We start from the raw sequence: 13,737 nt of genomic DNA on the forward strand, positions 1-13,737 counted from the left end.
GTTGTGCACTCCACTGAGCTGGTAGGAGCCAGCAGGACCTAGGAACACATGGGATCCCTGCCCCCTACAGAGTTGGCAGGGTGGGGGTCCCATGCTCCCAGGCATACCTGCAGCTGCCTAGCTGTGGCTCTGGATCCAGGCATCCCTGAACTCTCAGGGGCCCAGGAAGCCCCTGCCCTCATAGCCCCAGACGTCCCTGCTCCCACTCCTTGGACTCTCCCTGCTCCTAGTGCCTGCTCCGATTTCAGAGCAAAGTTGTGGCCAATCCTGGGCGCTGTTGTGACCCAGCCAGGTGTGCATGTACTCGGTGCAGTACTCACACACCAGCCCCCTGCTGTCTTGGCCGCTTCTGGATTTTGTGTGCCAATGAGCATGAGGGGGAGGCCAGGGGGCCCTGAGGCAGCTTGGCATCGGCCTGCAGGCACCTCTCAACACAAACAGCCTGGATGCCATGGACAGCATGTTGATGGCAGGGGGGAAGACAGGTTCCTGGGTGGAAAGGGCCAGGTCCCCAGTAAAACCTCACATTGAAGCCAGGGATAGCCTGAAGACTGGGGGCTGGGCTGCCAGTTCCAGGTGGATTCTTTAGCCCAAAGTGAGAACTTACGGTGCTTTTTCCAGGGCCACCCATGGCCACCCATGGACCAATCAGCACACACTTTCTCCCTTCTGAAACCATAAAAACCCCAGACTCAGCCAGACTCAGACAGATGTTGGGTTGACCTGCCTGTGGAAGGTCTTGTAGTGGTCTTGTCCCTGCTGAGAGATGGACACCCACTGAGACAACCTGTCTGTGGAAAGGAATTATCCACTTGGGTCTCCTCTCCTGAGAGCTGTTCTGTTGCTCAATGAAGCTCCTCTTCATCTTGCTTACCCTCCAGTTGTCCACATACCTCATGCTTTAGGATGCAAGACAAGAACTTGGGACCTGCCAAATGGCAGGACTGAAACATCTGAAACACAAACAGGGCTGAAACATGCCCCCAAACATGCCCCCAGCTCACTGTGTCATGAGTGACAAAAGGGAGAGAAGAGCTGTGGCCATTCTGGGAGCCTAGACCTCGGGATTCTCTGAGCTAAGGCTGTGACATGCTGTAACACCCTCTTTGGGGCTCTGTGGTTCCTGGCATCACTGAGCTTTTGGACAGTATCATGTTTCCCTAGTCCAGCTGCTGGTGCCTGCAGCAAAAGCCTCTCGTTGTAAGTCTGGTTTAGCTGCAGCATCACACGGAGCCAGCACCTGTGCCAGTGCATGGCGCTATCCACCCCACTGGAGCTGGCACACCTAACTGTGCACAGTGGCTGGACTCCACTATTACTCACTCACACGCCCCTTGCAGCTCTGCACCTGGATCACTTTTGGTAGGCATGGGATCCCAGCCAGTAGCACTGCCTGAACGCAGCCTGCCGGGCCGAGTGGGTAAAACGAGACCAGCAGATGCAAGCAAAACTCAAGAGGAGGCACTGCCTGCCACAGAGGTTTCTAGCAGGTGAAGCAACACTGTCAGGATCCCGTGACACTAATGCAGCTTGGGTCACCTGCATTCCCAATGTTCAGTCATCTTTGATTGTGAAATGGGGTCATGTGGCCTGTACACAATTACTCTAGACGAGGATCAACAATTGCACTGGTATCTCTGAGAAATCTTCATGATGTGTCAGCCTCCATAATTAGCAGGTGAACTATAAAATATAATTATTTTCTGCTATAATTATATTTTGAGTTAAGGTATCTATACAGTATTTACTATCTAAAATGTGATGACTCTGTGTAACTACATATTAGATACTACCTCTGTGAAATACGCATTTCAGTTAAACATTTAAGTCCTTGTAGCACAGACAAAAGAATTTAAGTCTCTGCACATATTTTCTTCTGAGATATTATTTTGCTATTACTACTATAATATTTAAAATTATTCATAGTAAATATGTTCTAGATGGAACAGAATTTTTATAAAATCTGTGTAGATTAAAGGGATTATAAATAAGTGGTACCTGTATATCCACCAACTTTATTTGTGTAAAGAAGGTATATCAATTATATTTGTAAGCTCTTTTGAGCTTTCCCTGCTTTCATTTCCCCTCTCTTACCTATAGAGCGATCAATATTCTGAGTTTTTTATATATAACAAGTATTTTTTCTCGCTTATCTTCACAGCTTTATCACATATTTAATGTACAAATACAATACAAAGTATTTTAGGTTTTTGTTCTTTGTAAAATTGTAACCATATTACACAAATATTTTTAAGCTTGGCTTTTTGCACATAGCATTAGGTGTCTGAAATATATTTATGTTGTTAAATGTAGTTGTAGTTAAATTTCTATTGCTGGTATTCCATGGAACAAATGCACCAAAAATTTATTCATCTATTCTGATGTTGATAGACATTTTAGTAAATTTCTGTACTTTGCTATCACAAAAAGTGCTGCTATAAATAATTTTGTATATATCTTTTCATGGATTTTTTGTAAGTTTTTCTCTAGGGCGTATATCTGTATATATATAACCTGAACTCTTTCAGATTACTTAAGACTTTCACTAGGAGTGGAATTGCTGTCTTAAGATATGAACATTGTGAACTTTACTATATAATGTGAATTTCTTTCCCAAAATGCTATGCTAATTTTTACTCATGCTATAGCCATAAGGCTTCCCATTTTCTACTTTATTGTAAACACTTGATCCTGTTGGGTTTTTATTTATGTATGTATTTATTTTTATGTATGTACATATGTATTTATTTATATTATGTATGTATGTATTTATTTATACTATGTATTTAGTCACCACTAAAATTGGTAAAAATAGTATTTTGTTTATTTTGTTTATGTTATTGTTGCATTTATCTGATTGCCAGCGTGACTGATAACCTTTATTTTTAGTGATTTTGCTGCTAGGTTTTTCTCAGAACTTTTGTTTATTTTTCCAATTTATTTGCCTTTGTTAATATTTGTTTAAAATATTTTCTAACATTTACTTATACCAATCTATTCTCAGCTCTATAACTAATTACTCCTTAGCATCTGTGGTTTGTCCTTTCATGTTTTATGTAATACTTTAATAAACATAATTTCTTAATTTTAGTGAATTAACATGCATCAGCCTTTTTTTGTGATTTGCTCTCTCTGCTTCTTGCTTAACACATGCTTTTTGAGATATCCTCTTACACCTGTCAGAATGGCTGCTATTAGAGTCAGAAAACCACAGACACTGGTGTGGACAGGGAAAAAAGGAAACACTTAGAGACTGTTGATGGGTATGTAAATTAATTCCTTGAGGAACTACAATTTTAAAATATCTCAAAGCTAAAGGGAAATTTCTTATTTCCAATTTTGTTTTTTCTTTCGCTTTTTTGGTAAGAAAATGCATCTTTAGTTGGACATTTAGCCTTGTAATACGAGTACAGTTTAAATTCTGAGCTTTTTAACTACAGAGAAGAATTATTTATAATCAGAAGTTATTAAAATTTGATACTTAAACCTCTGACTAGCTTTAAAATATCTAATATTTTATTTATTAATTAAATCATTCATTACTCTTTGTCAGTTTTTTAATAAATATTTATTAGTATCTACTGTATGCACAAGTTATGTATTTACCAGGGAATCAATAGTAAAACAGATAGATATGTGTCTTTTCTTGTGTAGTTTATATTTCATCAAAAAGGTAGAATTTGAACAACATTTTATTATGAGAATTGTGAAGGAAAAAATACATGGTATTAGTATATAATTTTTTATTTACAAATTGTAAATATGGTCAATTTTTTCTTTTCCCTTATGACTAGGAGAATATTTTGTACATAGTAGTATTTATGTAATTATTTACTTAGACTAGGTTGGACTTACATCTCCCCATTTTATTTTTCTGCAGTAAGGGGTTTGAATATATTTATGGACATTTGATTGAAGACATATATGAGAATCTTATTTTTCTAAATGTTCATTTTTAGTAATTCTTAAGTGATTATCTTAAGGATACATCTTAATGGTTATTTTCACCTGTATTATCAAATGCAAATTTTGTAAATGTGGATGAAATCTTAGTATAAAGTATTATAGTAGATCTACTAAGCTTTAATAGTTTTTCATAAAAACAATTATAAAATTAAAATAATTTGGAAGTTCTACTAACCTGCTAATATTTCATCAACCTTCATTTTGCCCCCCTCCTTATTATATTTTAATATTCTATTTCAATCTCATTTGAGAGAAGATAGGCTAAAATGATAGATGAATAGATTGAGAAATGTAAGTGTTGGGCTGGGCGCGGTGGCTCACGCCTGTAATACCAGCACTTTGGGAGGCTGAGGCGGTTGGATCACGAGGTCAGGAGTTCAAGACCAGCCTGGTCAAGACGGTGAAACCCCGTCTCTACTAAAAATACAAAAATTAGCTGGGTGCAGTGGCAGGCGCCTGCAATCCCAGCTACTTGGGAGGCTGAGGCAGGAGAATTGCTTGAACCCAGGTGACAGAGGTTGCAGTGAGCCGAGATCGTACCACTACACTCCACCCTGGGCGACAGACTGAGACTCCATCTCAAAAAAAAAAAGGTATTTGCTACTCATCATCTTCATCATCTTTATCATCATCCTGTCATCTAGTTTGTATTCAGACACTACCTATTTTGTTTTTCATCTTAAATGTCATCATGGCAGGGACAGAAAAGACCATTGATTGTATAACACACACTAGCTCATATTTATTGATGGATTACTCTGTTCTAAGAGAACATTTCTAGGAACTTTCTCTATATTTATTTTATAATTTTATCTTCTGAGCATTAATATGTCTATGAAGGAACTGAGTTACTAAGACATTATGTAAACTCTCAAGGACACACAAGTAATGAGAAGTGAAACTAGGATGCAAAACCGGACAATATTACCAGGAAGCAATTTTATCCACGTTCCTCTAGCCCATTGATTATTGGAGACATAGATACATTTAGACATAGAAAAACGTTTTGATGTTAGTTTATTTGCGGTCATGTCACACTATAGGCCTATTCCTGGGGAAGAAAATAATCACCTCAATGATGAGATTGCATTTAATAGCAGATTATAAATTATTTCTCAATTAAGAAGATAAAATAAATCTAATGAGCACTGCATAACTACTCTCTGTGTGCCTCATAAATTATTGCCTATTGATTTCCTTAAAAATGTAAAAGCTCACAATCCACTGTCTAATTCTTTACTACAGAAAAGGGATTCATAAAGGTAGGGAAGGCAATGGGTTCACACATATCTAAAATAGAAGACAAAAGTTGTTGCAGAACTAAAGCTGAATAAATAAGGACCCTTAGGTAGCCATTTCCCCCCTTCCTCTAGTTTTCCACCACCACCAATAACCACAAAAAGAACTCAACAGTGACATTAGTAGCTTAAATGTTGAAATAATTCCTGTCCTTTGAGGTTACATCAGTGGTAGAAAATTCAAGAATATCTTTTCAAACCTGTCAGTTAAAAGATAATTTTTCCTTCTTTGATGCCATGCCACTATTGTGACTATTTTTTTAATTGAAAATTATTATATCCTGCCTTGTCCTTTAGTTATCTATGCACATAACTGCCTATTCTAATAGACTTTAAAATGGCTGATATCTGAATGTAACTTGTGAATTTTGGGACCTAAAATTATACACAGAATCTTTAGAAATCCTTAATGAAATGCACTAAATATCATTAAACATTGGGATAATATAGTACAGCTATGTATTACACAAAGATATAATTTCCCTGGAAACTAGGTCAGAAAGGAAGTCTTTACAGGGCTTTTTCATGAAGCCAGCCATTTAAAAATTTCCCTTATAGCAACTACAAAATAGATAACTAAACAGCATGACTTTAAAACGTGAAAAAACAATCTTAGCAAGATTTCCAGAAAATATATGTAATATATACTTCAGAAATGGTAATACATAAGTATGTTGTTTTTTTGTTTGTTTGTTTTATTTTTTCAGTCCTAGGTTTTTAATGCTAAATGGAAAAGATTAAAACAAATGAAAATAGGCACTCTGTTTTTCTTCACTCATTTTTTTTACTGTTGTTTGGTTGATTGATTAAACCATTTTTAACTTCAGCAAATAACACATTCCATACATTTTCATACTTTTAAAATTACTGTGAAATTCTTCCAAATGATTGATGGTAATATGGCTGAGAAAACGGTTTATGTGTATATTTTTAAGTAGGCATTTTTACTTGTTTTTGTTTTCATGAAAAATAAAAGATATAAATGTATGGCAAATTTTAATTTTAGAAATAGTTGTACAAACTATACAAGTATGAGAACATTTACAATGAAATGTAGTATGTATCTTTTTTTTTCTATTGTACTACATAAAGAATCAAAAGTCTGGTTCTACCACTTATTACCTATATTACCCTGCCCCTCAATCTTAATTTATACAATGAAGAAAATAAGAAGATAACAATTTCTTTACATTCTTATACAAACTTAAATGAAAGTGTATCTGACTTTGATGATTCATTTAGGAACAAAATGCACATATAATTATTTAACTTTCATGTTTTCACCGCATTAAACATATATACTCTCCAGGCACCTAACAGGCTAAATTCTACAGTAGCAATACCATCGCTAAGATTTTTGTGAACTCTACATGTATTTAAGTACATCATCTTGCATAAATATTTCACTTTTATTTTCTCAGGGTTTATTATACTTAAAATTATTTTATAAATACTGTATTTATGAACCCTATATCACAATGGCTTGCCAATGGTCTGCCGTTACAACTAAGATACTACTTATTATTCTCCTTTGAAGAATACCTGTTCATCATCTGCAAAAACCTACTTTAAAACTTGTATTCAAACTGTGAGTTCAGGCATCTTATCCATTTAGTAGTCATGCTATTACTGAGTCATCCAGAAAGAATGGGAAATAAATAAGATACAAATATTTTTCTGCTTGCCAGTTTACTGTAGCTATGTATTACAGTACATATATTTATATGTATATTATAATAGTATGAAAAGTACTGTTATAAGAAGGATATATAATAAGCTCTACTTAGTCTCTTTACAAAGCTATAAGGTGTGTTAGTCTGCCTGGGTGTCATAACATATTACCACACACTGAGAAGCTTATACAACAGATATTTATTTGCTCATGGTCCTGGAATCAAGAAGTCCATGAGCAAAGTGTAGCAAATTTGGTTTCTGATACGGTTTGGCTGTGTCCCCACGCAAATTTCATCTTGAATTGTAGCTCCCATAATTCCCACGTATTGCAGGAGGGACCCAGCGGAAGGTAATTGAATCACGTTGGTGGATCTTTCCCGTGTTCTTCTCCTGGTAATGAAAAAGTCTCACAAGATCTGATGGTTTTATAAATGGGAGTTCCCTTGCACAAGCTTTCTTTCCTGCTTCCACGTAAGACACAACTTTGCTCCTCATTCACCTTCTGCCATAATTGTGAGGCCTCCCCAGCCATATGGAACTGTGAGTCAATTAAACCTCTTTCCTTTATAGATTGCCCAATTCGAGTATGCCTTTGTTCGCAACATGAGAACAGACTGATACAATATCCATTGATCTCGGGTAGTAACTGTTTAAGGCAATTGTACTTTTGCTTTTGTATACTGACTTGGTGGATCAAAAAGACACAATTCCCTGGATCTCAAAAAGAGTCAGTAAACATGATAATATTTGATTATTTGTCATTTAGAAAGTCATTAGATGATTCCAATGCATCTAAATGTTACAACCTTGGCATTTTGGCTCAATAGTTCCCATACAAACAATTTGTAGCTTTTTGAAGAAAATGAATCCTGGCAACTGACTATAATAAATTTAGCTTCTAAAGGATTAAATGTAATGGTTACATTCTTGATGTATAAACTGTTTGTATAATTTCTTTTTCTTTTACTTTACTTTTTTTTTTAATTGTTTATACCAGGGAAAACCTAATACGTTATTGTGAATTGTATTATCAGAGGATGATTTGGGCCATCCGGTTTTGTAGCAGATGGTAAATATTTAATAAGGGAATGCCCCACACAGTCTCTAGTTATTAAATATAAGCCATTACATGTTTTCAATATCCTCCATGCTTATTCTCAGTGTTAGTGTCTAGGTAGTGTGCTGTGACACAGACAAAAAAATTCTAATACTGTTATTTTCATGTAAAAGTCAGGAAGACGTATTCCAGGATAAGAAAATTTCATTAGCTAAACAAGATATTAAATTCAGAGTGACTTGACTTAGAAATTGGATTTTTTTTTGCATGTTAAAAACTTGTTCAAATCTGATCCACTATTTAAAATGAATATGGCTGAGTTCCAAATTATTTTTTTCTTTACTGTCAGCTTATCTGGAACATCCTGACAGTGGAGTGACCCAATTTATGAAAGCTCTATCAGTCTGAATAATAACTTAAATTATGATAAAACTTTTCTTAAGAAAAAAGTATATTTTAGCATTTAAATCTTCAGTACAATTAAGGGACACAATGGTTTATCTTGCTTTAAAGTTTTATTCTAATAATGAATTGACAAATGCTGATTAAACAAAACTTGGCCATGCTCCCAGCTGTGCTTGATCACTGGAAATAAGATTTTCCCATGAACAAATATCCATGAAGGGGGCTGACTTCTGTCTACTGTCAAAAGATTTAGCATATACATACATACATATATATATATATATATATATATATATATATATATATATATATATAATTTGGATGCTTTTATACTGCAATCAATACTATTAAAATGTTATTAAAATGTTCTTAACTATCAGAAGCACTACAAGAAATAAACAATGTTTAATAAAAATGATAAGGTGACAAATTGGCTATTTCATAGTATATTGGGCAGAATATTAGAGGATATATGAAGATATCGAGTTAGGGCTTGACCTTACTGAAGACTAGCCTTAGCGTCTCGGTTAATCACTGTATGTGAGTGAATGTTTCCTTAGGTGGAAAATTATGGAGAAGACAAGATGAAATTTTATAATTCCTTTCATTTATTCTATAAGCATTTTTAAACTGATTGTTTCTATCAGGAAGAAGTTATGTGTTTCTAGTACAAACTTATTTAATAAAATGCTATAAAATTGCTTCACTGTGGCCAAAATTAAGGATTTTTTGTTTTTGTTTTTGCTTGAGGAATAATGTGTTTTATGTTAATGTCACTCGCAATATTTCTAACCTCAAAAAATGTGTATCTCTGACTTATTAAAAAATAAGTTTTATTGAAAGTTGCATTCCTGATGTTTAACTGTGGTGCTATGGAAACTGTGGAGTTTTTAAGCACAGCACCTGCAGATTCTCACTTTCATGAATAAAACCTAAAGGAAACTGTGTTCATTCTCGCATAAAGTGTCACTTCTGGGAGTATATACATCACTCTAATTTCACTCCTTAACCTAATAAATAGTACTCAAGAAAATATGTGTCCAGTGAAAGTGTTTACTTTTCATATAATTACAGATTATTCTAAGTAATTTTATTTATTAATAATATAGAGGTAATATTTTATGACTTTCATTAGTATTTCAGAAGTTACCACTTCACATGAATTAAACTCCTCTTTGAGAATAAGGCATACTCATTCTAAAGTCTGAGAATGACGGGTTGTTTGACATATCACAAATTGATCATTCAAACCAACTTTTTAGGTCTTAGGAACTTGATAGTTATAACTTTGTTTTATTATGTATTCATAATTTATTTGCTATAGAAACAAATTAGGTTGGCATCAAAATGTTGTACGAAATGATGGAGATTCTATGTGAATAATACTGTGGAATAAACAATTCTGAGATGTTTACTTAATTACTTTTGCATATCTGCTCATTAAAAAATAAATCTCTTTACATGGTGTTCTTAAATTTTTCACATACCACAACAGGTGAATTCGCACTTTTCTTCCTTTATTTTCTTTGTATGATATGTTGAATATGACTCTAGAGTAACATGTGATAATAGATAAAATGTAATCTGTAGATAACCTGCCTTGAAAAATTTAGCAAGTTTGGCATCAACTCCCAAATCTTAATCATATCAATTAATTGCAATTAAAACTTTCTTTTATTGAGTTTTATTTAAAATACAATAAATCACGGTGGAAATCTCAACACAGTATAATCTGACATAGATACCTTGCAAATTAAAGCAACATAAAACTGGCCTAAAAATTATGATATTTCTCTTGGTCGCTGTGATTGACTATGACTTGGGGACAGTCTGTGGCAAAAGCAATAGAAACATCTCCAAGTGTCTGGTATTTAAATTTGTCCTTGAGATCAACCCTGTTATTTTTTGTAAACAAAAAACAAAATAGAAAATCTAGTCAGTCATGTAAGTAGTTAGTTGTTTTTAGTTCTGTGAAGAAAGATGGTAGTTTGATAGGAGTAACATTAAATCTGTAAATTGCTTTGGGCTGTATGGTCATTTTAATGGTACTAATTTTTCCAATCCATGAGCATGGAATGTTTTTCCATTGATTTGTGTCTCTGATTTCTTGTAGCAGAGTTTTGTAGTTCTCCTTGTAGAGGTATTTTACCTCCTTGGTTAGTTGTATTCCTAGGTATTTTATTTTCTTTGTGGCTGTTGTAAATGGGACTGTGTTCTTCATTTGACTCTCAGCCTGATCATTATTGGCATATAGAAATACTACAGATTTCTGTATATGATTTTGTATCCTGAAACCTTCCTAAAATGGTTTATCAGCTCTGTTAGCATTTTGGCAGTCTTTGGGGCTTTCTAGGTATAGAATCATATCATCAGTTAAGAGAGATATTTTGACTTCTTTTTTTCCTCTTTGGATGCTTTTTATTTTTTCTCTTGACTGATTCCTCTGGTTAGGACTTCCAGGACTATGTTTAATAGGAGTGGTAGACAGGACATCCTAAGTCATACAAGCAGCCATCAAACATATGAAAAATGCTCAACATCATTAATCATCAGACAAATGCAAATCAAATTCACAATGAGATACCATCTCACAACCAGTCAGAATGGCTATTATTAAAAAGTCAAAAAACAACGTGTACTGGAGAGGCTGCATATACACTAGAAATACTAGACAGCCATAAACAAGAATAAAATCATATCCTTTGAAGTAACATGGATGGAGCAAGAGGCCATAATCCTAAGCAAATTATCACAGGAACAGAAAACCAAATACCACATATTCTCACTTATAAGTAAGAGCTAAGCATTGAAGATACATGGACATATAGAAGCAATAGACACTCTGGAATACTAGACAAGGAGGTAGGAAGCGGGGAATGGGTTGAAAGATTATCTATGGTGTACTGTACTCACTATCTGGGTGGAATATACCCATGTAACAAACCTGCATATGTATCCCACTGAATCTAAAATAAAAGTTCAAATTAAAAAAAATAAACAAATAGAAATAAAACACATGCCAATCATTTTAAGACTATGAGTTCTGAAATCTATTGCAAAAAATAAAATTCCAGTGGAATTATTTCCATCATCATAAAAATTGTGAATATATTGCAGTTAGAGTATAAAGTGACGGTAAAAATTGTAAAAACAAAATGAAAATAGGTAGTTAATTAGGTATGTAGCTTCCCATAGCTCATTGTTCTATATTAATTTTCATTCTATCCTGGAGGAAGACCTCATCAATTTTTAATGTTATATGAGACATCCTATTTTTGTGTCTCTCTCTGACTTTTATATATTTAAATTAGATTTTTTTAAAGTTTCAGATATTTAATTTAAAATATTGTCTTTATACAAATTACACTTATAATAAGAAAAGTTGTTTAATTTTACAATATGTTAAAATATTAAACATTTTGAATTTATGCCAAAATTGGTGACCTGATTTCAGTGTGTTGTTTATTAGAACCAAATAGATTTAACCTCTCCTAAAGCATAATATAAAACTTTTGATATTTTATATGCTCAAAATAAGTACAATAGTTTTTTTTTAAGATCTAAAAATACAGAATTAACAAGACAACGGGCCAGAATATCGTGTAAAGTAGCAGTAAGTTTCAGCTTGTTAAAACTCTAATTACAACTTTTTGAGGCAGCAGTAGGTCTTATTTCATTCAGTACATTCAAAGGTGAGTGCTGGATATGCCAAAAAAGAAGACTTATTGTAAAAAGTATAAGCAAAATGTGGGAAACATAATTTTTAAATTTGGAAATAATATAGAAAAGTGATATTCACCTATTCATACATATCTTGCTAATTGTGCTGAGAAAAATAGTAAAGGAAATAACACAATACTGAAAAAAGAAACATGCAAACTGAATTTATTATCTCTTAATCTCTGGTTGGTTTAACTTTGGAATGTTAAAGGGTGGTTGGCATCTAAGAGAGTGTTAGAAAAATGAAAAAATAAGAGTGTAAGATATTTCTAACAAATATATATTGGAAGTAGAGCAGAAAATTCATTTTTTCTTCAGAAATTTAGTCTTCATTTACATGCATGAGTTTCACCATGGGACACATAATGTATTATACAGAATAATAGGGAACTGTAAAGCATGTAGAGAAGAGTTGAACTAAAGGCTACTAAATATAAGTATCTTGAATTATAAATAAAGGAGGAGGAAAAAATAAGAAATTAAAAACTAAAATAGTTCTGTGAAAAAAATCATTTTGCAAAAATCCTGCTAATTGTAAAGGAAAAGAATTAGAAATTTGATTAGGACTGGAAAGAAGATGTAGAGGAAAAAAAAAGAGCTTTAAAATGTTTAATAGTGAGCCTCCCAAGTTTAAAAAGAGAGGTGACATAGTACTCATGGAGTAGACCACTGATTTTAGAACAGAATAATCAAATATGTTTTGCATAGAATTGTATTGACAAGCTAGGAAATAAGTAATGACATGAAGATCTAGCATTAGAAGATTTAATACTAGATCTTCATGTCATTACTTATTTTCTAGCTTGATAGTGGTATCACATGGTAGTGGTATCATGCTGTTGTTTTAATTTTCTCTGATGACATATGATGTGAAACACTTTTCCGTATGCTTATTTTCCCTCTGTGTATCTTCCTTTGTGAAGTGTCTGTTAAGATCTTTGGTCCATTTACCTATTTGGAGTGTTTGTTATCTTATTGTTGAGTTTTAAGAGCTTTTGTATATTTTAAACAACAGTCTTTAAACAGATGTGTCTTTTGTAAATATTTTCTCTCAGCCTATGGCTTTTCTTCTCATTTTCTTAACATTGTCTTATATATTTATTAAATTTGTACCTAGATATTTCATTTTTGGGAGGTGTTAATGCAAATGATACTTTTTTATTTCAAATTACAATATTCTTTGGCGGTGTATAGGGAAGTGATTGACTTTTATATATTAATTTTGTATATTGCAACCTTGTTATAACTGCTTATTTAACCAAGGACTTTTTTGACTCTTGAATTTTCTATACAGACCATTGTAACCTCTACAAACAAAGACAGTTTTTCTTTCTTTCTTTCCAATGTGTATGCCCTTTATTTACTTTTCCTGTCTTATTGCATTAACTTGGAATTCCATTATGATGAAAAGGAATGGTGAGAGGGGACATCCTAGTCTTGTTCCTGATCTTAGTAGGAAAAGTTCAAGTTTATCGCCATTAAGTATGATATTAACTGTAGGTTTGTTGTTGATATTCTTTATCAAGCTGATGAGGTTATCTTCTAGTTTTAGTTTTCTGAGAGGTTTTTTTAGTCATTAATTAATGTTAGATTTTGTGAAATGCTTTTTCTGTATCT

Source organism: Homo sapiens, chromosome 2, assembly GCF_000001405.40.
Source record: "Homo sapiens chromosome 2, GRCh38.p14 Primary Assembly".
NCBI classification, from domain to species: domain Eukaryota; kingdom Metazoa; phylum Chordata; class Mammalia; order Primates; family Hominidae; genus Homo; species Homo sapiens.